The following is a 25,945-nucleotide window of genomic DNA, read 5'->3' on the forward strand; positions in this document are numbered from 1 at the left end:
CATGGACCAAACAACCTACATACCAGCATTTGGGAAGGTCTACTTTTGAGAGTGAGGATTTCAATAGCCAAAGGTCATGAATAGGAAGAGGAGAAAGCATTTGAGCAAAGGCATCTGTATAAACAAAGACACAGGGCTGCAGCATTGGGACAGTAAATGCTAGCTGCTTCATTAGGCAAATCCCGAATTCCAGTGTTGTAACAAAATACATGTATTTTTCACTTACGTAAAACCTGATATAGGTCAGACAATCCTCTTTCGTCATGTAGCTATGCCATTTGGAGCATGTGCCCTCCAAGGTGACTGGCAGGGGAGGAGAGAGGTGAACGCACTTGGCTCACAACTGCATTCACCTGGAAGTGATGCCTGTCATGAGCAGAACCAGTCAAAGGGCCCCATTCTTAGTGCCCAAGGGCCTGGAAGAGTGGACGTTTCCATGGGTATTGGTGAGCATCGGACTGACCAGCATGGTGGGAAAGTAGGAGGAAAACTGTTCAGTTGGGAGTGTATACAATTCTGGAAGGGGGTGATGTGAGGTAAGAGCTGGGAAAAAACCAGCTGTAATGATTACAGCAAGAACATGAACTCAGGGCTAAGGATTTTAAGGGTTAATAGGAATATCTTTATATTTTTGAGCGGGGACTAATACTAGACCCTTCTTCACAAATAATAGTTACCACAGGAAATAGATTTAAGGAGAAACAGCATAAATGAGGCAGTGATTCTGAAGCCAAATTTGAAAAACACTATGGTAGTAGAATTGATAGAAATTCTCAACAACTTCATGTACACAGGGGAACAGAGAAAACTAAGAAGAGGGAGACATTGAAGACCAATCTAAGGCCTCTTGTCTTGAAGGTTGGATAGATGATGTTAAATGAAACAGAATATCACAGGAAAAGCAAGCTTTGAAGAGCAGCATGATGATTGTGCCAAGTAATTCACTGCTGCACCTGCTGGGTTTTATGAGCCAGAGGGATATCAAGACGCAGATGCCCAAGAGACAAACATTTCGGTCTGGAGGGAAAGCAGAGATTGGGACTGCCATTCAGAAGATAGCTAAAGGTCTGGGAGTGAATGAGATCTCTGAGTGGCCTAAGTGCAGAGGTATAGGAGCAGGTGGCAGAAAAAGAGCCTTCCACACTACATTTGGGCCCTTTTTTTAGTGCAGACGGGAGAGAAAGTTAAGATGTGAAGAAGCCAGAGGAGTGATAAGAGAGGCCTGGGGACGATAGGGATGGAGGGGAGGGTTGGGGGTGTGGCTCAGACCTGCCTGGCTTGCTGGCATGTGGCTGGAAGAAAAAAAATCAACATGTGCTGCCAGGAATCAGTTTAAACTTTCAAACCTCAGATGAGCCTACAGAGCCTTCCCGAAATCTTCTTGTATTCTCCCTAGTGAATTCACCTTCCCGCTTCCAAAAAGGAATATTCTACACTTTCTCCTCTCTCATTAAGCCTTCAACACTCCCTCCCATTCCTTACTCTTGGTCGATAACCTTGTTTCTTGTGTCATTAAGAAAAATGGGCTGAGTGCAGTGGCTCACACCTGTAATCCCAGCACTTTGGGAGGCCAAGTCGGGTGGCTCACTTGAGGTCAGGAGTTGGAGACCAGCCTGGCCAACATGGTGAAACCTCGTCTCTACTAAAAATACAAAATTAACCAGGTGTGGTAGCTGGTGCTTGTAATCCCAGCTACTTGGGAGGCTGAGGCAGGAGAATTGCTTGAACCTGGGAGGCGGAGCTTGCAGTGAGCCGAGATCGCGCCGTTGCACTCCAGCCTGGGCAACAAGCGTGAAACTCTGACTCAAAAAAGAAAAGAAAAAAAGAGAGACAATGACCTCATCTTCCCACCACCACATCTACCCGGGGGTCCGCGCTCCCTCCATGCCTCCATGTGTGCAATGATGTCCTCCTCATCTGGTTCCCCCTGCATCACTCTGACCTCCTCTCTCCTGGATCGTCTCCATCAGCACATACATGTGTTGAAATATCTCCCATCTTGAAAAGCTCTTCCTAGCACCCCCACCCCCTCCCATTTCTACCTCACTTATCATTCCTTGATAGCAAAACTCCTCAGCAGGATTTCCCAGCTTAACGGCCTTCGCCTGGTGTTCTCTATTTCACACTAATCAATCCTGTTCTCATATTCTGCTTAGAGGGCTCTTGCCAACATCCGCAATGACATTCATCTTGCCAAATCCAGTGGTCCGTTCTTGGTATTCATTTACCTGAATGCTTACAAGCTTCTGACAAAATTGATCACTTCCTCCCTATTGAAATGCTCACTTCTGGGACCCCTAACTGCCATGGTTTCCTCTTTACCTTGCTTGGCCTTCCTTCTCGGTTTCTTTAGCTGGCTGCTCTAAACGCAGGAGCGCCCCAGGCCTCTGTCCCTGGATTGTTCTCTACCCACACTTGCTCTCTGCATGACCTTATTCAGCTATTTGGTTACATGTACTATCTCCATACACAGGACTTCCAAGTTTTCTCCAGTTCTGACCTTTCCATTGAGTTTTAGATTTCTGTATCCATCACCTATTTGACATCTGTAACGGAATGACTAATAGCAACTTAAACCCAACTGCCCAAAATAGAACTATTGGTTCCCTGCCACACCACTTCCAAGTCCTCCCAGCACTCAAGCCCTCCCTGTCTTCCAGCTCTCCATTTCCCTTCCTCCCCCACAGACCACACCATCCCTCCACTGGCTTTTGCAACAGCCTCTGGAGTGGCCTTTCTATTTCCACTCTTGCCTCTTCCCATACTTAGGATGTACTCTGTGCCATAGCCAGAGTGATCCTTTTCAAATGGAAATTAGGCCATGTTACTTCACATAAAGGTTTTCCATAACCTTTATAATAAAACCCAGCACCCCTTCTGGGGACTCCAAGGCCCTATGTGCCCTCTTCTTTCTGACCTCATCTCTCTCTGGCTACTCCTTGCTTTGCTTGTCCCGTTCTAGCCATACCAGCTTCCTCTTGTTCCTCCAACAACCAAGGATGCCTGGATGCCACAGCCTTTGCATTGCTGTTCCCTTTGCCTTACTTTCTCCCAGGTGCCTAGTGGCTCACTCCCTCACTTGCTTCATCAGGTCTCTGCTCAAATATCACCTCCCAAGAGAAGCATGCCTTGACAATCCTGTCTAAAACGGCCACTCCCTACACCCTTTCTAGCCTTTTTGTTATGTTTGGTTTTTCCTCATGGTCCTTGTCACTACCTAAATTTATATCTGTTTCCTTTTAAATTGTCTGCCTCTAATACTAGAACATGAGATGCACAAGGGCAGAATAAGGGAGAACGATCTGCTTTATTTACACCTGTGTCCAGTGTTGACTACGGGCCTACTGCTCAGCGGTACAGCTGTCTAGACTGTCTGCTCTCTTACTGTGTCTGGCACACAGCAGGAAGTCAATAAATATGTACTGAATGAATGAATGAGCACATTTTATTGTGCAGAATCTTGCAAACCACAGTGAGTGGGATATGACAGGGATAACCCATGAACAGCCTTCATTTCCCGTTTTTAAGATTTTGGCTTTCTTGTTTTTGAGAAAGGGTTTCACTCTGTCACCCAGGCCATAGTGCAGTGATGTCATCACAGCTGACTGCAGCCTTAACTTTCCCCTAGTGTATTCACCTTCTCACTTCCAAAGTGATCCTCCTGCTACAGCCTCCTGAGTAGTTGGGACCACAGGCGTGCACCACCATGTCTGGCTAATTAAAAAAAATTTTTTTTTTTTTTTGTAGAAATGGTGTCTCCCTATGTTGTCCAGGCAAATCTCGAGCTCCTGGGCTTAGGCAATCCTCCCACCTCAACCTCCCAATGTGCTGGGATTACAGATGTGAGCCACTGTGCCCAGCCTGCCCCCGCCTCTTTTTTTTTTTTTTTAACCTTTTTGTTTAACTTTTCCCTTCACCCCATCCCAATCCATCTACATGTATGCACACTTATTTGGAAAGCAGGTTTGAGGTAAAAACAAAGACCTTCACTATATTTTGCTTTGACAGAAGGAAAGAGGAAGAGTTTCTATTAAAATCTATCATATGAATAGTGTGACTTAAGTCCTGTTTCAGGAGATAAAAATAGCTTTCTGGACTGGTTAAAGTCCCCCAGAAACAATACAGTTAATTTAATTTATTTTTTTGAGACAGAGTCTCCCTCTGTCGCCCGGGCTGGAGTACAGGGGTGCGATCTCAGCTCACTGCAACCTCTGCTTCCCAGGTTCAAGTGATTCTCATGCCTCAGCCTCCCAAGTAGCTGGGATTACAGGTGCCCACCACCATGCCTGCTAATTTTTGTATTTTCAGTAGAGATGGCGTTTCACCATGTTGGCCAGGCTGGTCTCAAATTCCTGACCTCAAGTGATCTGCCCGCCTTGGCCTCCCAAAGTGCTGGGATTACAGGCCGGAGCCACTCTGCCCAGCTGACAATACAGTTAAGAACGATTTTTATTTTAACTCTTATCACTTTGTAATTTTGACTCAATCCTTTTCAGGACCATTTTTGTTAATAAATATCAAAATGTAAAAAATAAAATTCCAGTTACCACATAGATGTGTATCCATCACCTATTTGCTATCTGTAATGGGATAGGGGTAGATGTGGTAACTGGAAACATTCAGATTCCACACGCAAATTCTGGCTTCTCCATTTTTCATACCTTCATCCTCAATGGCTCCTCTTTCCCCTCCTAATTTCTCCAGCTCCTCAGCACTCCCTCAGAAAATTAAACCTTTTTTTTTTAATTGCAAGAATTGCATAACTTGGGAAAAAAGGCCGTAAAGTGTTAGAGATCATGCTGCCATCTAAAGGATGGAAACGGTAGGAGGCTTGCCTTGTTAGCAAAAGCCAGAGACAAAACTGGGAATTTCATTAGCGGAGAGGCAGGTAAGAACCACTCAGCCTGCTGAGAAAAGCTCTTGTTCTCTTCGGTGACCTAAGGAAATGAAGGTTGCTGGGTAATTAGCATAAGTGTCTGCAACAGATTTAAAGGCAGGAAATCACATTTGGATCTGCTTTTACTCCCCTTTTTTATTTTTGGTGGTTGGTGTGTGTGTGTGTGTGTGTGTGTGTGTGTGTGTGTGTGTGTGTGTGTAGTAGGAGAAGGAGATTTTTTTTTCTTCTCACAAAAAAAGAGTTTAAAAAGATTAACATGGTTGTCTTTGGGTGATGAAAATGTGGTATTTTATCCCTCTTTGTTTCATTTCTCTGAAGTGTCTTCAAAGTACATTATTACTTAAGTGATTTAAAAAATGATTTAATTTTTAAATTTAAATAGGGGTAGGAGCAAGGTTGTTCCAGAAAAGTCTATGCCTTGTGAAGATCGAATTAAAAGAAATCTTTGATCACACTGAAAATCAATTACACTGAAGAGTTAATCCGACATTTTGTGTTTTCGTTCTTTGAAGAGGCCTATTTCCTAGGCTCCGCTTGAAAAAAAAAAAGACAGGTTTAAATTGCAGAACAAATTTAAGTTAGAATTCTAGAAAATAGTTGGATAGTTCAATAATCTATCTATCTAAGCAGCCCCAGGATGCTCACAGAACTGCATTTGGGCTGACAAACGGAGAGTTTGAAGAGAGCCACACACATGCCAAATGACAGGAAAACCCTCAAAATGTTTACCAAAGTAAACATGCCTGGTCTGCAAGGCTTACAGCTGAAACAGACAGATGAAGGAACTTGAGGGTTCCATTGCTAGAGCACTTTCTGGAGGAAAACTGGAGATAATATACATTATGAACTGAGGTTGGGATTTAGGACCAATCTTTTAGTGTCTAGCCATGGAGCCTCAGGGATTTACTAGCAGAGAGGATCAGAGAAAAGCTAAGCAGGCAAGACAAGCCTGGTGTGAGTTCTTGCATTTATAGGTCTTCGTGGATTTATGTTCTACAACTGACATCTGCTGAATAATAATAATAGCTGGCGTTTGTTGAGGAGTTATTCTGTGCCAGAAATTGTGCTAAGTGCTTTGAAGATATTATGTCACTTAATCTACCTCCAAATCTGATCGATAAGTGCTAATAATATAGCATATTAAATAACATTCCCCAAAACCGAGGAATTTCATTTATTTCCCTAAATTCACACAGCTAATATGTAGGTACAGTACAGTCTGAGTCCATAAATTTAGCAACAATACTGTAAGGCCTCACTAACATCATCAATAAGTTCCTGGAAACTTCAACTTTAAGTGAAAGGAGGTACAGCAAGTCCTCAAATAGCATTTCCTTCAATGTCTCATTTTGTTACAACATTGATAAAAAAAAATTGGTTTTGTTATACATAATTTCACTTAAAGTCAGTTTCCAAGAATCTATCAATAATGATAAGTGAGAACTTACTGTACTCTGTTATCCTAGCTAGAACTTGTCTTCAGTTTTGCTTGCATAACCCCTACCGGAATTTTGATAATCAATACTTGCATACTTTTATGTTGACATATACTGTTTTTCATCATAAGTCAAAAACCTTACAAAAGATGTAATATATGTTTTAAAACACTCTTAAGAGGCTGGTCACAGTGGTTCATGCCTGTAATCTCAACACTTTGGGAAGCTAAGGTGGGAGGATCTCTTGAGGCCAGGAGTTTGAGACAGCTTGGGCAACATAGTGAGACCCCATTTCTGCAAAAAATTTACAAAAATTAGCCAGGTGTGGTGGGCCGTACCTGTAGTCCCAGCTCCTGGGGAGGCTGAGGTGGGAGGATTGCTTGACCTCAGGAGTTTGAGCTTGCAATGAGCTTTCATGGCTTCACTGCACTCCAGCCTGGGCAACAGAGGGAGACCTTGTCTCTAAAAACACAAAAAAGATGAAAAATAAAACACTCTTAAAATATTTGATATTTGAAATTGTATTTTTACCCTACTTCTCTTACAGAATTTTATCATAATGTAACATATTTTTGCACTTCTATGGTTGTTCAAGGTGATGGTTAGTTTTTGTGTCAACTTGTCTAGGCTATAGTTCCCAGTTGTTCAATCAACACTGTCTAAGTATTGCTGACAAGGCATTTTACAGATGTTGTTAACATCTACAATCAGTTGACTTTAAGTAAAGGTTAACATCTACAATCAGTTTACTTGAGTTAAAGGAGACCATCCTTGATAATGTGGGTGGTTGAATTAGTTTGTACTTGCACTGCTATAAAGAAATACCTGAGACTAGGCAATTTATAAAGAAAAGAGGTTTAATTGGCTTATGGTTCTGCAGGCTGTACAGGAAGCATGACTGGGGAGGCTTCAGGAAACTTACAATCTTGGTGGAAGGCGAAGGGGAAGCATGCACCTCTTACATGGCCGGAGCAAGAGGAAGGTGGGGGAGGTGCCACTCACTTTTAAACAACCAGATCGCGTGAGCACTCTATCAGGAGAAGAGCACCAAAGGGGGAAATCTGTCGCCATGATTCAATCACCTCTCACCAAACCCACCTCCAACATTAGGGATTATTATTTAACATGACAGTTGGGTGGGGACACAAATCCAAACCATGTCAGTGGTGATTCATCTAGTTAGGTGAAGGCCCTAAGAGCAAAAATTGAGAAAGATTTTCTGAAGATGAAAACTCAAGACTGCAACATTAACTCCTGCCTGAGTCTCCAGCCTGTCAGCCTACCCCACAGATTTGTTAAAATATAAACTAAGTCACATTCAAATTTGGGTGGACAATGAATCATAAGTTGGGCAGTTCCAGACCATAGGCAGTTCAGGGCTCCAGAAAAGGAGAACAAGGGGGAGCTTTTATATGGTGAATGTGGAAGCAAGGCAAAGCAATCATTCCAGTGGAAAGTCCCTAGCTAGAGGTGAGGTGGTGGTTTCTGACAGGCCTGGACTATGACCATTTACATCTAGTTGGGTTTCAGTTTGCTTACATAGGAACCCAGGGTGCTGGAGCTGCCGTGGTTTAATGGCCTTCCAAAAATTATTTCAACAGATTTCAGGATTCCAAGGCTCCACAATCAAATGAGTCAATTACAAAAAAAAAAAAAAAAACAAAAAACAACAACAAAAAAACTCTTTCTCTCCCTCTTTCTGGCTGTCCATTATCTTCTGTTTCTCTTGAGTCCCTGGATACATTCACCCTAGTAAACTTAAACGCAGCAGCAACAACAAATATATAAAATTGAAGTTAAAAATTACCTATAATTTTTTGTGATGATAAGGTTACTAGTGTTAAAATATTTCTTTGGCATCAAATTATCACTGTAATTATTAATAGTCTGCAGCTACTCAAAATGGTATAAATGTATTAAAACATTTGGTAATTATTTTTAAAAAGGAGAAATATATAGAAAATGCATCTCAATTAGATTCACTGAGGGGTATGTTTGTGAAACTATGGGGGCTTGATTAAAATAATTAATGTAATTGTATCTTTGGTTCTAGAACCATCTTAAGGTTTGAGATGGGTGACAGGTAGACCTTTTTTTTTTTTTTTTTTTTTTTTTTTTGGTAAATCAGGAGAAAAATGACCAAGAAATAGGAGAGTGCATTATCAGGCTGTTAACAGTTATAGGAAGAGTACCTGTAAAAGCAGAGGATAGGAAGACGGATTACTTTAAAACCCTCGGGGACCTAGTAACTTCTAAAATCTTTTTGCATCTCTGGAGCAACTGTGCCCCCCTTGGAAGGCTGTTGCTTATTTCTCTGGGTTTCAAAGTTACCCTGTTTCACTCTCAAATATCCTAGTCGTGGACCTGGTTTGAACTTAGCAATTTTGGCAAATCTCTGGTTTTCGCCTATTTTCTGGCTTCTGTTAATTTGGGTGCATTGTCATCCTTTGGCTTTCATGTCCATGCTGGGTCTGGACTATCTTCCTTATTTGTTCTCAAGGCTCCTGTTCAGGGAGTTTCCTTGGTTTCCCAGCTTTTTACCTTCACAGCTTGATGTTCTGTTATTCACATCCCCAAATGGTGCGATTGAGTATGATCACCTCAGGGGGGCTAGACAGCTGTTGGAGGCTGTGGCTGGATCCGTCTGTCAGCCATCTTGCTTTTACTGATTAGTTCATGAGGGACCAATTACATTAAAAAGCATCACATTGTTCTTCTTGGAAATCTGGCCCCTTTGTCTGCTGCAAACTGTTTCCATTTTTCCTGCTTTATTTTTATATACCTTTTGGTCTTCTGTCCCTTTTAAACTTAATTGCTTTTGTACTTCCTTCCTTGGCTTTAGATTGCTTTTGTTTTGTGATTCTCTTGATAAAAGAAAAAACTTCAGCCAAATTAACTTTAAAGGAGTTTAATTGAGCAACGAACAATTCGTGAATCAGGCAGCCTTCTGAGCAGTAGTAGGCTCAGAGAGACTCCAGCGTAGCCATGTGGTGGAAGATTTATGGGCAGAAAAAGGAAAGTGACATACAGAAAGCAGAAGTGAGGTGCAGAAACAACTGGATTGGTTACAGCTCAGCGTTTGCCTTATTTGAACACGGTTTGAACAATTGGCTACATTAATTGGCCAGAACTCAGTGTAGGCTAAAGTCTGATTATACCTCCATTTGTTATAGTTCACGAAGTACAGAATAACCTTTAGGGCAAACTTAAAATATGGAAGGAAGCAGCTTTAGGCTAAACTTGATTTAGCACTCTAAATGCCAGTAAAGATCAAACTATAAAAAATAATGTTAAAATTTACTAAAATTTTGAGATGGAAGGAACATCATAAATCATAATTCCTGCATGTGTGTGAACTAGGTTTTGGGAATGTGCAGAAGTTATTTAAGCCTAGGGGGTTTCTGAGGGTATGAGAGAAGCAACCAACATTCCTCTAGGACTTTCCAACCTAGATGTGATGTGGTGCATTACACGTGCTTCTGTCATGCTTTCCATCTTGTCAACCATGCTACTGACCCTAGTGGTTGAAATAGGATGGAAGAAGAAGGATTGGTGGTTTGCCAATATTTAACCTGAACGCTTTCTCTCTCCTGGGATGCTTTTTTTTTTTTTAATTTTTTTTTTCAAGACGGAGTCTTACTCTGTCACCCAGGCTGGAGTGCAGTGGCATGATCTCAGCTCACTGCAACATACGCCTCCTGGGTTCAAGCAATTCTCCTGCCTCAGCCTCCTGAGTAGCTGCGATTATGGGCACGCACCACCATGCCTGGTTAGTTTTTGTATTTTTAGTAGAGATGGGGTTATACCATGTTGGCCAGGCTGGTCTCAAACTCTTGACCTCGTGATCCGCCCACCTCAGCCTCCCAAAGTGGTGGGATTACAGGCGTGAGCCACGGCACCCAGCCTGGGATGCTTTCTTTTGTTCTGTAGGCACCAACTTCTTCTCCTGATGGTGGATTTCTAATCTGTAGTTCTCTTGTTCCAGTGGAATGCTCTTGCTTATTTCATCTTTAGATCCTTGCAATCAGGGGGTCTACCTCTGGCTTCTGTTTGCTGAGGTTTCATTAGCTTCTCTAGGTAGCTCTATTGAATGGGATGAAAAACAACCTCTCTGCTGGCTCTTTCTCTCACACATGAAACTCACATAGTGCCCATGCTTGTCCATGTGGTTCTTTGTGTTTATTAGAAAGAGGTGCCCATTTCTCAAGACACTTTATGGGGAAGTTGTTGTAATATATACTGGTTTTGTTAGAACAAGAACTTCTATTGCCGTCTACTAGAAAGTAAATATACAAACTTACGATGACTACCATGTGAATAAATCTTGACATTAGATGTTGTACCCTTGACAGCATACAACTTGCGCACCATGCATGGTGACCCTAGGCCCACACATTGTATAGAAGAAACACATGATTTGCCTAGATGAACTTTGGAAATGAAGGCTGATTCCAAAACAGAAGCAAACTCTTCTTTATCCAGCTTTCATCAGTTAGGAGGATTGCCTTACTCTCAGAGTAGTCTTCTTGAAGCTCTCTCTTGCCCTCATGAGGTAAGGGTCAGGTTTTCCCTAAACTCCTTTGCGATGTTGAAGCACTGGGATTCAGAGAGGGGCAACAGCTGTTCCCAAATAAATTATTTTCACAAATTCTTACCAATATTTATCAATATGCCCTTTTATAACCTTGATGTACACGAAGGATTTTAAGAGCTATTGTTAAGGAGTTTTTGGCTAACTCCTTTGCAACTTCTGCATATGGTCTCGTACTTTATCATCTATTTTTTTCCTTGCTGTTTCAGTTGTAACTTCTGTTTTAACTTATTACAAACAAAATAGAAAATGCAAATCTTTCTCCAAAGATGATAAACATCTCTCCGCTTACTCCAATGAGAATATTTTAGTATGGATAGAATTAATCTTCACTAGAAAACTAAAATTTACCGAAGCATATATCTTTTATGGGTTTGGTATAAGAGCAGCAGGGAAAATTTCTTTCAGAACAATTTATTGTGGAGAGTATCATGAGAGTCTCATCTTTGTCCTTTCTAGAAGACACTAAGGATCATGTGAAAGAGCTCCCTGAGGACAGATTAAGAGGAGATGAGTTAAAGCTGCAAATACCAAGATTTAAGGTTAAGTATGAAGAATTTCCTGATAGAGAAAATTCTTTAGCACTGGAATTAAATATCAAAAGACTCTTTCCCCAACATTGACCTCCAAGCAAACTTTGTTGGGTTGTTCAAACCACTTTGTTTCCTGTAAGTGTTCATTGATTTCTGTGAGTGGATGATGGTTGATTACACACTTCATCCGTGATTAAACTGGGAAACGTCTGTTAAAAAGATTCAGTATAGTTTCTCTTTCCATGAATATATGGAATTATATAGTGATTTTAACCTATATTGACCAAGATAACTTTGTGATCCAAATGGTCAGGTGTCATATTTAAAAAATATATGCATATAGTTTAAAGCAATTAAATATCCTTACTCGATTTCTTATGCCGATATGTAAGAGTAGCAGCTGGTCATGAGGGTCCATCTTCTATGGCTCTTTCACATGTCTGTGTGTTTTGTGAAGCAAAGCATTGACTTCTCCTTGTTATAAACTATCTTTTGAAGGGTGCTTGTATAGTATAGTTAACAGCCTTGGACAACAGACATTGTATCTCCCTCTAGAAAAGGGGTGTCTAATCTTTTGGCTTCCCTGGGCCACATTGGAAGAATAATTATCTTCGGCCACAAATAAAACATACTCACTATAGCTGATGAGCTAAAAAAATCTCAAAAAACCCTCATAATGTTTTAAGAAAGTTTACCAATTTGTGTTGGGCTACATTCAAAGCCATTCTAGTCCACATGTGACCCGTGGGCTGCAGGTTGGACAAGCTTGCTCTAGAACAAAGGGCAGATTTTCTTATTATTTTGTGTAGTAGGCAGTATAATGGCTCCCCAAATATGTCCATAGCTTAATCCCAGAAACCTGTGAATACGTTACCTTGCATAACAAATGAAAATTTATGTTACAGATGAAATTAAGAATGCTGATCAGCTAAAGGACCTTCACATACAAAGGTTATCCTGGATTATTCAGGTGGGCTCAACGTAATCACAAGGATCCTTTAAAGTGGAAGAATGAGGTCAGAGTGATGTGATGTGAAAAGCACTCAATTTGCCTTTGCTAGTTTTGAAGATGGAAGAATGGGGCCATGGTCCAAGGCATGCTGGTGACCTCTAGAAGCTGAAAAAGTTAAGAAAATGGAAAAGAAACTTCAGCGCAGTGAGGCCCAATTTGGACTTCTGACTCCAGAACTGCAAGATAATACATTTGTATCCATTAAGCCACTAAGTTTGTGCTAATTTGCTATGGCAGCAACAGGAGACTAATACACCTTGGCAGGTAGAGGTAGTCCTCCTCTGGGGCAAACATATAAGCATGCTTACTATACAATATAATAAGGATGATGTCTCTTTCCAGGACATAGGCAGGCATGCTTATTTCCTGTTATAAAATATTCAGGTTTTCTAAGTTCAGTTTTTTGTTTTTTTGTTTTTTTTTTGCTGGAACACAATTGACTGTGGATGCTGGTATTATCTAGCCCTATTTGCATCACCTTGCGGGTACTGGGGTTTGGAGGAATTGGCTCAGATGCTGATACCGTGGCTACTACTATTGTGGTGAGTAATAGCCTCTCATTTGCCTGTAATCCAGGAGTCTCACGTCTTCTCCCAGCATCCATAAACTCTAGCAGGGTAACTTGTTAGTTTGCAAGTAGGCCCTTCACGGTGTGCTCGTTTTAACGCACTTCTGCAAAATTTATTTTAAAATCTGCTAGACCAGGGCTAAGCAATTCTGTAATTATTACCTTCAAGATAGTGTTTGCTCTCTTTCCATACTTTAGAGATGAAGTGTTACGATGTCTCTCTCTAACTTAACAAAGATCAGAGATCAGCTTACAATAAAATTAGAAATAAAAAACAAAACAAGTTGTTTACCATAGTTTGAAAAGCATGTCTCTATTGACAATTTACGACTAGGGCAGGTACTAAGAAGTTCCCTGTCTTTTTTCTCATCTACAGAATTTTTTTACTGCCACATTTCTCCATTTATCTTTCTTTCTCCACGACGTGCTATTTGAAGAGAAAATCCTTGGGAATTAGTCTCTCATTCTTTTCTCATGAGAAGCACTCCCCTCTCTGAATTTTTGGTGAATTAGATTTCTCTCTTAGCTATACCATGAAGGGCCCTGGCTTTTACAGCTACTTTCTTGTTTCTAGCTTGAACTCTGTGGCAAAATTTAAGTCAGTGTGTCAGAAGTCATTTAGACCAAGGATTTTGTTTTACAGATGTGAAAACCAAGGCCTCTGATGACAAGAAGAGCTATTGCCTTATTTAAGTTTCTCCTGACCTAACTACCTAGTGTTTTGGAGGAAATTGCCTTAGCCACTGTCAGCCCCCATCTTTCTGACACAAGGCCTGGCTCAGTTGCTAGTTTGGCCTAACATGATTGCTTCCCCTCAACAGCTCTAGAAATACAATTGTGAAATTGAAATTACTGTATTTGCAGGCTGACTCTGGCCAGAGAAACTGACCTGTGGATGAGTTGAAAATAAGCTTATAACCATGCTCGTTTTATAGTTAATTAACTTAGGGCACAGGTATTGAGAACCCAACATGTGCCAGGGCCTCTTGGGTACTGGAAAAATGCCTGGAGTGAGGCTGGGAGGGAAGCTTCCTAAAAGGTTGAGGAGGACTTTATTTGGGAAGAAACTGAGGGCAGGGTTCTGGGGCCTGGACTGTGTGAGAGTTTGAGGACTCTAAGGAAAGGAGAATGTTATGGAGTTCATCTTTGATTTTTTTTTTTTTAACCAGTAACTTATCATTTTTTTCCACAGTCAGAAACGTGACTGAAACATTTCTTCCTCTTAAGAGGCATTAAGAGAAAAGGATAGATTTCCTGTTTCTTTTGCAATTTTCCTCTTTAAGAAACAGAAAGAAAAAAAGATCTTATGTCCATGCTCCTGGAAGTCACCAATAAATAATACGGGCCAGGGCTTTTTCTTTTCAGCAGTGGGCTGATTAAATCCTTATACTTGTTCTGGGTTATATGTCTGAAATTTGTGTTCCTTTTGTTCTGAGGAGTACAAAATAATCAATTCCTCTAATGGAGATTACCAGCTTGATTAATAGATAATCCTAATGTGTTCTTTGTAAAATACATTATAAATGATCTTTAAAGTTGAAGGAAAGAAGATTGGGCCATGTAGAAATTTGGTTCTCAACAGAACCTCTTCTTGATTGAAGAAATATAAGCAAAGAGTTTTATATATTTCGGTAAGGGTAGGTAGTCTATGCATTTTCTGTTCTGAGTATTACAAAAGGAAAAGGGAATAAAAGCTTCTGCATATAGCAGAGATAAACTCCAAAAGCAGGAGACCAGTGAAGCCCTGGATCACTGCACTCCTCCAGCCTTCAAGGAGCATGAAGAGGGTCCACATAACAACAGAAGATGCTTCAGAACAAATTATGAGTCCATAAGAGATAAATTAGTGTCTTTATTCATTGCAAAGGAATGGTTATTATAAAAAAATCCCTGATGCTGTCTCTCAGACTGAACTTACGTATAGGCAGGAGAACACATGTAATTTATTGACTGATAAAACTGTAGGTAAGAATACATATGACTTCTATAACTTGTATGAAAAATGAAACTACACTTAAATGTAGGAGCAGTTTATATTGTTTGATATTTAACTGGTTGAGTGGTTAACATATAATATTTAAAAAAATCTTCTTTTAGTAGGCAGTTTAATGCTTATGGTCTAATTTTTATTTGAAGACATTTTGCTGCAGCAGAAACATAGCTGTGATTCATATACCTACTCTTGATATTAGCCTGGCCGTTTGTCCTGTGACGCTTAAGCTAGTTACCACCATTTATCTGGTAACTGTTTCCAGAATTGAAGAGATGATGCCTGGAAGGAGATAAACTTCAGGAGTTCACCTTTAAGCCTAAAAAGTACCAGCAAAATGCAATGACAGGATAAAAAGTTTGTCATAAATATTTTCACAAGATGGAAGACAAGAAAGCAAAGAGCAGCATAGAAAGAATGAAGGAATAAATAAAAATAAGTGAAAATGCTGCATTTTCTCTCATGGGATAGATTTTTCAACAACTCCTGAACTATGACCTCTCAAGTTCTTTTGCAGTTCTGTTCTAAGAAGTAATGAAATACATTTAATATTCCTGTCTTTTCACAACATTAATTCATTCCTACTTTAGCCTTAAGAATTTTAGTAGAATCTATTGTTTATTCATGCGTATAAATATTGTGGAAAAATATCTTTAGATGAGTTAGTATATATGAGACACTTAGGCCAGGATTTGGCACATGTCTGTACTTCATAAGTGTTTGTTATTGTTATTTTTAACAAGAGTAAAAAAAGATCTTATGACGCATCTAATATCATTTAAGCTGTTTATGGTTACTCCTTGGAATGCCTTCTGGTCAAAAGTTTCTGCAGCCCAGCACGACATTAATTTGAATGCATTGAGCCGGTTTCCCAGAGGGCTGGATGACATTTTTGACTTTTTAGGATTTTTGAGACTTTTTCTAATGACTAAGGTCAAAATCTCCCTTTCCTTGTCTCTTGAGTTTTAGGGGGCAACCAGAGATGTTTTGAAGGAAACCAACCATTAGATGTCACTTTCTTCTCACTGCTTTTGGTTTTAGGACCTATGACCTGGGTTTAAGCCTTTTGATTTTCTTCTTTTTTTTGAATGTCTATAAATAGTCTCTATGTCAAAGCTAAACGGGAAATTTAATTTTAGATTAGTAGATAAGAGACAATACTCAACTCCTTGGAATGATGAAATTTTGGACCTGTTTTAAATTGGCCTGACTCAATGTCCCTAGTTGACTAAATTTGGAAATGTAGTATTTGTGCTTTTCTTTCTCACTGAAGTTAGTGTGGCACTGTTTCTACACCAGACACTTAGGCCTGAGTGTATGAGTGTATCCTTATTCAGGTCAAAGCTAATGAGTTTTTTTTTTTTTTTCCTTAGCAATCACTGAATGAAAAACATATTCTTCAGATATCTGTTTAGAATTGCTTTTCCAGAAAACCTTTGTGATCTTTCTCCCCCAACAGAAGGGCTCAGAAACACATAACAGTTTGAAAAAGAGAAAAAATACTGCTGCTATGGTCTGAACATTTATGTCTGCTCCAAAATTCATGTTGAGACTTAATCCCCATTGTGGTGGTAGTAGGAGGGGTGCCTTTAGCAGGTGGTTAGGCCATGGGGGCTCTGCCCTTGTGAATGGATTAGTGTCTTGTAAAAGGACTAGAGGGAACTGGCTTAAGGTCTCCTTACTCCTCCTCCTTCTGCCATGTGAGGATGCCACTGCAAGAACATGCCACTGATGGAGCAGTCCTCACCAGACGCCAAACCTACCAGTGCCTTGACCTTGGACTTCTCAGCCTCTAGAGCTGAGAGAAATACATTTATATTCTTTATCAATTGCCCAGTGTCAGGAACTTTATTATAGCAGCACAAATGGATGAAGATAACTGCCAATCATGATTTTAGGAAAGAACCTGACTCAAGAACATCTTCTTGGCCGGGCCCGGTGGCTCACGCCTGTAATCCCAGCACCTTGGGAGGCTGAGGTGGGCAGATTACGAGGTCAGGAGATCGAGACCATCCTGGCTAACATGGTGAAACCCCGTCTCTACTAAAAATACAAAAAATTTAGCCGGGCATGGTAGCGGGTGCCTGTAGTCCCAGCTACTTGGGAGGCTGAGGCAGGAGAATGGCGTGAACTTGGGAGGTGGAGCTTGCAGTGAGCTAAGATTGTGCCACTGCACTCCAGCCTGGGTGAGAGCGAGACTCCGTCTCAAAAAAAAAAAAAAAAAAAGAATATCTTCTTTCCAGTCTTATACCTTCTGCTTCCCCTCATCATTTCTATCCTGTAGAAGCCTGACACTGAGCAGTGGCCAGAAGGAGGTTTTGAGCTCTTTGAGACTTGTTTCCTTGGTGGCCATAGGCTTTGCTCTATTGAAGACCTTTAACTAGTAAAGGTTATTCGTATCTTTGGGTCTGAGAATGTGTCCAAAACCTATGAAGCACTCATCCTATATGACAGGATTAAAATGCCCACGGATGTCCAAAACCAAAAAACAAACAAGTAGCTTTTTACATTTTATTTAACCGACATTTCATCTTGCTTTTGCTCCTACTGATATGAAATGAACACCCCACAACCCTTAAAATGCTGTATTAGTTTGCTATGGCTGCCGTAATGAAATGCCAGGGACTGGATGGCTGAAACAACAGAAATTAATTTTTTTATGGTTTTAGAGGCTGGAAGTCCAAGATTCGGGTGTTGGCAGTGCTCGTTTCTCATGAAGCCTCTCTCCTCGGCTTGCAAATGGCTGCCTTCTCTCTGTGTTCTCACATGGTCTTTCCTCTGTGTGTGGGCATCTAGTGTTTCCTTGTATGTCCAAATTTCCTTTGCTTATAATACCAGTCAGATTGGATTACTGTCTACCCTTAGGGCCTCGTTTTAACTTCATCACCTCTTTAAAGGCCCTATCTCTAAATACAGTTAAGTTCTGGGGTATGGAGGGTTAGGGCTTCAACACACAAATTTGTGTGTGTGAGGGCACAATTCAGCATATGCCCCTGGTCAATAAAAAGCAACCCAGTTTCTTCTGTTTCAAATCAATTGCTTTCTGCTAAATACTCATTAAAAGTTTAAGCTTTTCTTATCTCTCAAGGGGTCTCTCCTCATTCCTCCTTCCCAAGTTGGTGCCTGGGTTCATGCAGAAGCTTAGTATCTTGAAGAGAGTGGAAGAGGCCTTTACCCTCTGGGACTTTGCTGGACTCTACCAGCTGGACCCTTATCCCACTGTGGTGACCAGGCCTTCTGTGCTGGTGTTCCTCATAGTGGGCTGGTTGGATCCTATTCTTGGTCATTCTCTTGACTGTCACTGCTAGTGGCTGTGAGATTTGCCATTGCCTCGGGAGGTAAGGTCTCTGTAGACTCTCATTTTTTTTCTCCAGATCACAGGTATCTTCCAATCATTGCGAAAGACTGTAAATTGAAAGAAAAGATTACTGCGAGTCTTTAATGAAAAACAAAGCATAGTCTAGTGTATCCTTCTAGTTATCTGGTTCCTTTCATTGTGTTTGAGCTATTTTACAGTTCTGTAAATTGTAGGAAACTAAAAGTGATGTATATGATTCTTGTCTGCAGCAATGCAAATGACTTGTATCTAGTGGAATGCAATAATTTATTGCCCTGCAGACAGCTCCATTTTGCATCTATTTGTAAATTTGTTGCAGCATTTATATATATATTCTTTGAATTCTCTTTAGAGCCAGATGTAACATCTTACCAATTCCCTCATTAATTAATGAGTTAAAAACAGTCTTTGAATTGTGTTCAGTTTGTATTTGTATGGGAGTCATTATACTTCCCTGAAAAAATGAAATTATCTTTTAAAAAGTCTATTGTTCTTAGAATTTCCATGTTACCCATGTGAGCATATGCAAATTTCAGGATCTACTGCATGCTATTCTCAAGTAATGGACTACTAGAAATGCTAGCTCTAGCTCATCTAGCTAGCCAGGCATGGAGATTTGGGGAATTTTTTTTTTTGGCAGGAGTGTGGTAGTGGTGGTGGTGGCGTTTCTGTCAGGTTGTGGCCCAGGAAGGTGGTATGTAGGCCCTGATTTCTTTCTTGGAATCTCAGGCATTATATTACGCTAGCTTTACCTTTTCAATTTTTAATATTTAATATTTTTTGGGATGGATTCTTTCTCTGTCACCCAGACTGGAGTGCAGTGGCACGATCTCGGCTCCCTGCAACCTCTGCCTCCTGGATTCAAGCGATTCTCCTGCTTCAGCCTCCCAAGTAGCTGGGATTACAGGTGCACATCACTATGCCTGGCTAATTTTTGTATTTTTAGTAGAGACAGGGTTTCACTATGTTGGCCAGGCTGGTCTCGAACTCCCAACCTCAAGTGATCCTCCAGTCTCAGCCTCCCAAAATGCTGGGATTACAGGCCTGAGCCACTGTGCCCGGCCTAGCTTTACCTTTTCAATTCTTTCTACTTCTTGCCTTGCTACTTGAGCTTTTACTTCCTTTCCTATGTACAGGAAGCTGCTTTGATGTCATAACCTGCATTCTTTCTATTTTAGTCTCATAAATTCTATATTCTGAACTTAATAAAAGATTTTAGGATTAAAACAATTTATTTCTCTGAAAGTAAAACCTGTTGATTCACTTGTATTAAAATATAACCTAAAACTTAAAATTGACTACTTTTTTTTTTTTTTTTAGAGACAGTGTCTTGCTCTGTTGCCCAGGCTGAAGTGCAGTGGTGCAATCTCTACTCACTGCAACCTCCGTCTCCCAGGTTCAAGCAATCCTCCTGCCTCAGCCTCCTGAGTAGCTGGGACTACAGGCACATGCTGCCGCGCCTGGCTAATTTCTTTTGTATTTTATTAGAGATGGGGTTTCACCATGTTGCCCGGTCTGGTCTCGAACTCCTGAGCTCAGGCAATGCACCTGCCTCGGCCTCCCAAAGTACTAGGATTATAGGCGTGAGCCACCATGCCTGGCCAAAACTGACTTCTTTTAAGTAATTAATACCATTGATTCAATGTAAGGGAGACCCCTGGGAAAACTGGGAACTAGAAATTAGTGTAAGAAAATATATTGACTTTATATTTAAAAATATTATCTACTTTTTATGATTGTGATTTTTCATCTGCGCTGAGTATTTGTTGATATATAACGCAGTGTATTCTTTGCTGTGAAAGAAAATGCTCCTATAGCAACATGCTAAGTTAATGATGTATCTCATGTGCACTTCATATTTCTGGGGAAAATTCTCTGTTAACACTTTAAATGTACTTTTATTCACAGCAAAGGTCAGTCCAGTGCCCTCACTCCCTATTAGTTTCCCTACTACTTAAAAAAAAAAAAAAAGTAAGCTTCCAGCTTTTTCTCTAATCACATTTACCCTGAGTCATCTGTTATATATCCCTTTATTTTGTAAGTTGAGCCCCTTTTTAATTTAAAATATGGTTTGATTTCTCATATAGAAGCAATGTTTGCATTTTATTGGAACACTCCTTGAAACAGTCTAAAGAATGGCTCTTTCTTGTTTTTATATAGAGCATCTGGTGAACTTTACATCATACATCCCAGCTTTGGCTGAGTTTAATATTTTGTCTTTTAATTTATCCAAAACTTACATTTTCTGGCTTCGAATCATCCCTTTCTTAAATTTATTTACTTAATATTTTCTTACATCAACAGCCAACATTTTTAGGGGGGTGGGTTGGAAGGGTATTTTCCAGAGAGAATCAAAGAAAGTTTTATTACTTAATAACCCATTGGTCAGGCTGTCGGAAGCCATGTTGAAACTAGAGTTTGGGCCATTGTCCAGGGCCACTCACACTAAAACCATACTCACATTCTGCTCAATTTGATTCCTTCCTTTGCAAAACTAGATATTGAGATGGTATGAAACTTTAGTGTTTCTCACGTATTGCTAAACCCATGCGTGCTAAATATATGACTATCAAAACTAAAAGTAATTGTCTTGGACTGTTCCTGCCACTGTAACAGAACGCCAAAGACTGGGTAATTTATAACAAAGGGAAATTTATTTCTCACAGTTCTGGAGGCTGGGAAGACCAACAGCATGGTACTGGCGTCTGTTGAGGGCCTTCTTGCTGCATGATAACATGGTGCAAAGGCAAGTGATCATGTGCGACAGCAGGATGGAGAGAGGAAATTTGGCCAAACTCACTTTTAGGACAAACCCAGTCTCTATAAAACTAACCCACTCCTGTGATAATGGTATTAATCCATTCATGAGGGCAGAACCCTCATGAACACAGAAGGCAGCCATCTGATGAGCCCTCATGACTTAATCACCTCTTAAAATCCCACCTCTTAATACTGTTACAAAGGCAATTAAATCTCAACATGTGTTTAGGAGGAGACATTCAAGCCATAGCAGTAATCCATAGTTTATAAAGTATATTGGTTTAGAATGCTAATTTTTTTTTTTTTTTTCACAGAGACAGAGTCTCATGTTGCCCATGCTGGATTGCAGTGGCATGATCTCAGCTCACTGCAACCTCCACTTCCCAGGCTCAAGCAATTCTCGTGCCTCAGCCTCCTGAGTAGCTCAGATTACAGGCGTGTGCCACCATGCCTGGCTAATTTTTTTGTATTTTTAGTAGAGATGGGGTTTTGCCATGTTGCCCAGGCTGGTCTTGAACTTATGAGCTCAGGTGATCCACCTGCCTTGACCTTCCAAAGTGTTAGGATTACAGGCGTGAGCCACTGCACCCAGCCTAGAATGCTAATTTTAGAATACATTATTTTTATGACTTATTAATCATTATAATAACACCTAACAGCTATTAAATGTACCCTATGTATTGAGTACTGAACTCAACATTTTCTCTATATTAATTATATTCATAACAGTTTGAGGCAGGTGATATTATTACTTTCATTGTAAACATGTGGAGACTGAATCACAGGAAGGTTAGGAAACTCCCCCAATATCACAATTTAAAAATGTATCTGGGATTTGTTTTAATCGTGTATGGTAAGACATGCAGACATGGAAATGACTATTATGGAGGAAGACATTTTTACTCACAGTTCCCTAGACACAGGAGGCACAGCATGCCACACAGGGCCACATGAGGGAAGCACCAGGGTCACCCAGGAGGCAGAAGGAACAGGAGGAAAGCATGAGCAAGAGCCTTTATTGTGGGTGCACAGGAAGGAACAAGTGAGGCAGGGTACCTAAGCTTAGGATTGGCTAGTTTGAATGTCAATGGGCTCCAGTGTGTAGGGACCGCCCCTAGTTTTCTGGTAAGTGGCCCAGGTATGCTTAGGGCAGAAGAATAATGCCTTCTGGAGTGGAAAAGCCAGAGAGAGGAGGCGGTTTGAAGTAAGGACTCTGGATTAGTTGGGTTGCATATGAAAGGCACACTTGCAGGGGAGCGGGCTGCTGTCTCTAAGAATTGGCTAGCCCTGGAAGGGGCAATCTTGCCCCCGTCAGTGGGGATTCAGATGCCAGAGCATCAAGAATACGAAAAATAGGCCGGGCTGGTGGCTCACGCCTGTAATCCCAGCACTTTGGGAGGTCGAGGCAGGTGGATCACTTGAGGTCAGGAGTTCAAGATCAGGCTGGTCAACATGGCAAAAACCCTGTCTCTACTAAAAATGCCAAAATTAGCTGAGTGTGGTGGCATATACCTGTAATCCCAGCTACTCAGGGGGCGGAGGCACGAGAATCCCTTGAACCTGGGAGTGAACCTGGAAGGTGGAGGTTGCAGTGAGCCGATACCACACCACTGCACTCCAGCCTGGGCAACAGAGAGAAACTCAATCTAAAAAAAAAAAAAAAAAAAAAAAAATTAGTTAATATGGTCACACAGTATAAGTAGCAGAGTATGGATTTCTTAGCATTTTGATCAAGGAACTTCTGAATCCACTTGGTTGATGCTAATGGATTCTAGGCAATTCTAAGACATGACAGATGAGCCTGGAGCGGTGGCCAGGCTCATCTTGGGAGGCCAAGGTGGGCGGATTGCTTGAGCCCAAGGAGTTTGAGACCAGGCTCGACATCATGTTGAAAACCTGTCTCTTTAAATACAAAAATTAGCTGGTTTGGGAGGACGAGGCGGGCGAATTGCCTGAGCTCAGGAGTTCGAGACCAACCTGGGCAACATGGTGAATCCTTGTCTGTACTAAAATACAAAAAATTGGCCAGGGTGGTGGCCCACTCCTGTATTCCCAGCTTCTCGGAGGCTGAGGCACGGGAATTGCTTGAACCCGGGAGGTGGAGGTTGCAGTGAGCTGAGATCATGCCACTACATTCCAATGTGGGCAACAGAGTGAGACTCTGTCTCAAAAAAAGAAAAAAAAAAGTGACAGATGGATTAAAATCCCTTCCATTGTTATTACTGCATTCCTGTATGACTGAATGAAGAGTTTCAAAAAGCCTTATAATGCTGCTCTAAAGCATTATTTGCCATTTGTTGGGTCCCAGCAGTGTTCCTGTTATGTCTTCACATACTGAGGTAGGGGCAGGGGCTGGTCTGCCCCCTTTGCAGTCAACTTTGCAGACTTTGGTTGACCTGCATTGTGATCATTATCAGCCTGGCCATGATGGACGAAAAGCTAATAGAATCAATGATCTTTTCAGTTACGAAAACCACCATAAAAACAATAGTCTTGACTTGCATTTCAATGCAAAGCTTTAATAGATAAGTTGTAAAAGAGCCTTATATGGATTTATTTAAGTGACTTTTAAGCTAGAATGTTTACATATTTATGCTTTTCCCAGCTCTTTGCAAGATGCTGTAGAAAAAATTAAAGAAAATATTGCTTTATTTTGTTCCCCAATTTGGGAGCTATGGTGATCAGAAGGACAATAAATGAATGTCAAGCTTTGGATAATACAGACTAAAAGTGCAATGTGAATTTAGATAAAGGAATTTAGATTGCTTTGAAATGAGCTTAATCAGGTTACTTAATATCTTTGGGCCTTAGTTGCCTTATTTGTAAAATCAGAATAATTAATTTCCAGTACTGTCATGAGATGTAAGTGAAATAATATATGTAAAATAATTAGCAGAGCACTGACTTGTAGTTATAAATAAACAAATATGGGCTGCAATTATTATAAGTATTAAAGAAGCAGGTGCTAACCAGAGCAGTGTAGGGTAAACTCTAGATATCCATACAAAAGCTTTCCCCCACACCTTGTCTCTTTTTTTTAAATTATTATTATACTTTAAGTTCTGGGATACATGTGCAGAGTGTGCAGTTTTGTTACACAGGTATACATGTGCCATGGTGGTTTGCTGCACCCATCAACCTGTCACCTACATTAGGTATTTCTCCTAATGTTATCCCTCCTCTAGGCCCCCACCCCATGACATACCCCAGTGTGTGATGTTCCCCTCCCTGTGTCCATGTGTTCTCATTGTTCAACTCCCACTTATGAGTGAGAACATGGGATGGTTGGTTTTCTCTTCTTGTGTTAGTTTGCTGAGAATGATGGTTTCCAGCTTCATCCTTGTCCCTGCAAAGGACGTGAACTCATCCTTTTTTATGGCTGCCTAGTATTCCATGGTGTATGTGTGCCACATTTTCTTTATCCAGTCTATCATCAATGGACATTTGGGTTGGTTCCAAGTCTTTGCTATTGTGAATAGTGCCACAATAAACATACGTGTGCATGTGTCTTTATAGTAGCATGATTTATAATCTCTTGGGTATATACCCAGTAATGGGATCGCTGAGTCAAATGGTATTTCTAGTTATAGATTCTTGAGGAATTGCCACACTGTCTTTCACAATGGTTGAACTAATTTACACTCCCACCAACAGTGTAAAAGTGTTCCTATTTCTCCACATCCTCTCCAGCATCTGTTGTTTTCTGACTTTTTAATGACCACCGTTCTAACTGTTGTGAGACCTTATCTCTTATTTCATGCTTACCTGTCTTGCAACTTCCACTTCAATTATGCTGGGTGAACTAGACCGTAATCTACTGCTTCTCTGTGCTGTGTCTCATGTTGCTTCCTCCTGTGGAAGTGCCCCTTCCATGATGTAGCACTCCAAGCACCTCAGTCTTTCTCGAACCCTCCCACTGATCACCTTCCCTTCTTTGCTATTTCACTGTATTTTTCAAATATTACTAAAGGTGCCTATAGCATGAATCTATAGTTTGAATATTTGTCTCCTCCTAAACTCATGCTGAAGTTTAATCCCCAGTGTGTCAGTACTGAGAGGTGGAGACTTTAAGAGGTGATTGGGTCATGAAGGCTTTGCCCTCATGAATGGATAAATTCATTAATGGAATAATAGATTAATGGGTTAATGGATTAATATGGTATCATGGGAGCAGGACTGGTGGCTTTGTAAGAAGAGGAAGAGAGACCTGAGTAACCACGTGAGGATGCTCAGCTCCTTCCGCATATGATGCCCTCCATTGCCTTGGGACTCTGCAGAGAGTCCCCACCAGCAAGAAGATCCTCACCAGATGTGGTCCCTTGACCTTGGACTTCTCAGGCTCCATAATCATGAGAAATAAACTCCTTTTCTTTATAAATTATCCAGTTTTAGATACTCTCTTATATGAAACAGAAATGAACTAGGACAGAAAATTGGAATTGAGAGTAGGGTGGTGCTGATAATGAATACCTGAAAAGGTAAAGGTGGCTTTTGAACTGGGTAATGGGCAGAGGCTGGAAGAATTTGGAGAAGCAGTCTAGAAAAAAACCTGCATTCTGATAAGGGCTTAGAATTGGCTAGTTTGAATAATTTCAACGGGCTCCCAGGGTCTCAGTGGACTCCTAGAAGACTAGGGAAAGTTTGGAACTCCTTGGAGACTGGTTCAGTGGTCATGACCTGAATGAAATCTGGATAGTAAAGGCCATTCTAATGAGGTTTCAGATGGAACTCAGGAGCAAGGTATTGAAAATGGTAGTAGCTGGGTGTGGTGGCTCACGCCTATAATCCCAGCACTTTGGGAGGCCAAGGCTGGTGGATTTC

The 25,945-nt window shown here is 40.8% G+C and overlaps 1 long non-coding RNA gene across 4 annotated transcripts in view, besides 3 other annotated features; it reads left to right on the forward strand.

Moving 5' to 3' along the window:
* The window catches only part of LOC101928387 (uncharacterized), a 120,046-nt gene that overhangs the window by 85,969 nt on the left and 8,132 nt on the right, over positions 1 to 25,945 (forward strand). For 2 of the 4 annotated variants that reach the window (XR_007063236.1, XR_001749035.2), the window contains 2 exons: positions 11,384 to 11,466; positions 12,363 to 13,011. This is a non-coding gene — a long non-coding RNA (uncharacterized LOC101928387). Of the gene's footprint in view, positions 1 to 10,685; positions 10,886 to 11,383; positions 11,467 to 12,362; positions 13,012 to 14,229; positions 14,441 to 25,945 lie in introns of those variants that run through there. The other 2 variants (XR_007063237.1, XR_001749036.2) reach the window with 2 other exon arrangements.
* Positions 4,619 to 5,178: an enhancer, noted in NCBI's record as "OCT4-NANOG hESC enhancer chr12:19796565-19797124 (GRCh37/hg19 assembly coordinates)". NCBI's record gives its function as "activates a minimal SCP1, AML or CMV promoter by ChIP-STARR-seq in primed H9 embryonic stem cells {active_cell/tissue: H9 hESC(primed)}" and the evidence as "EXISTENCE:reporter gene assay evidence [ECO:0000049][PMID:30033119]".
* Positions 8,635 to 9,136: an enhancer, noted in NCBI's record as "NANOG hESC enhancer chr12:19800581-19801082 (GRCh37/hg19 assembly coordinates)". NCBI's record gives its function as "activates a minimal SCP1, AML or CMV promoter by ChIP-STARR-seq in primed H9 embryonic stem cells {active_cell/tissue: H9 hESC(primed)}" and the evidence as "EXISTENCE:reporter gene assay evidence [ECO:0000049][PMID:30033119]".
* Positions 22,567 to 22,732: a silencer, noted in NCBI's record as "fragment chr12:19814513-19814678 (GRCh37/hg19 assembly coordinates)". NCBI's record gives its function as "represses an EF-1alpha promoter that drives an FKBP-Casp9 reporter gene in an ReSE screen in phorbol 12-myristate 13-acetate-treated (for megakaryocytic differentiation) K562 erythroleukemia cells {active_cell/tissue: K562(+PMA)}" and the evidence as "EXISTENCE:reporter gene assay evidence [ECO:0000049][PMID:32094911]".

The sequence above is a fragment of the Homo sapiens genome, chromosome 12 (assembly GCF_000001405.40).
Source record: "Homo sapiens chromosome 12, GRCh38.p14 Primary Assembly".
Taxonomy (NCBI): domain Eukaryota; kingdom Metazoa; phylum Chordata; class Mammalia; order Primates; family Hominidae; genus Homo; species Homo sapiens.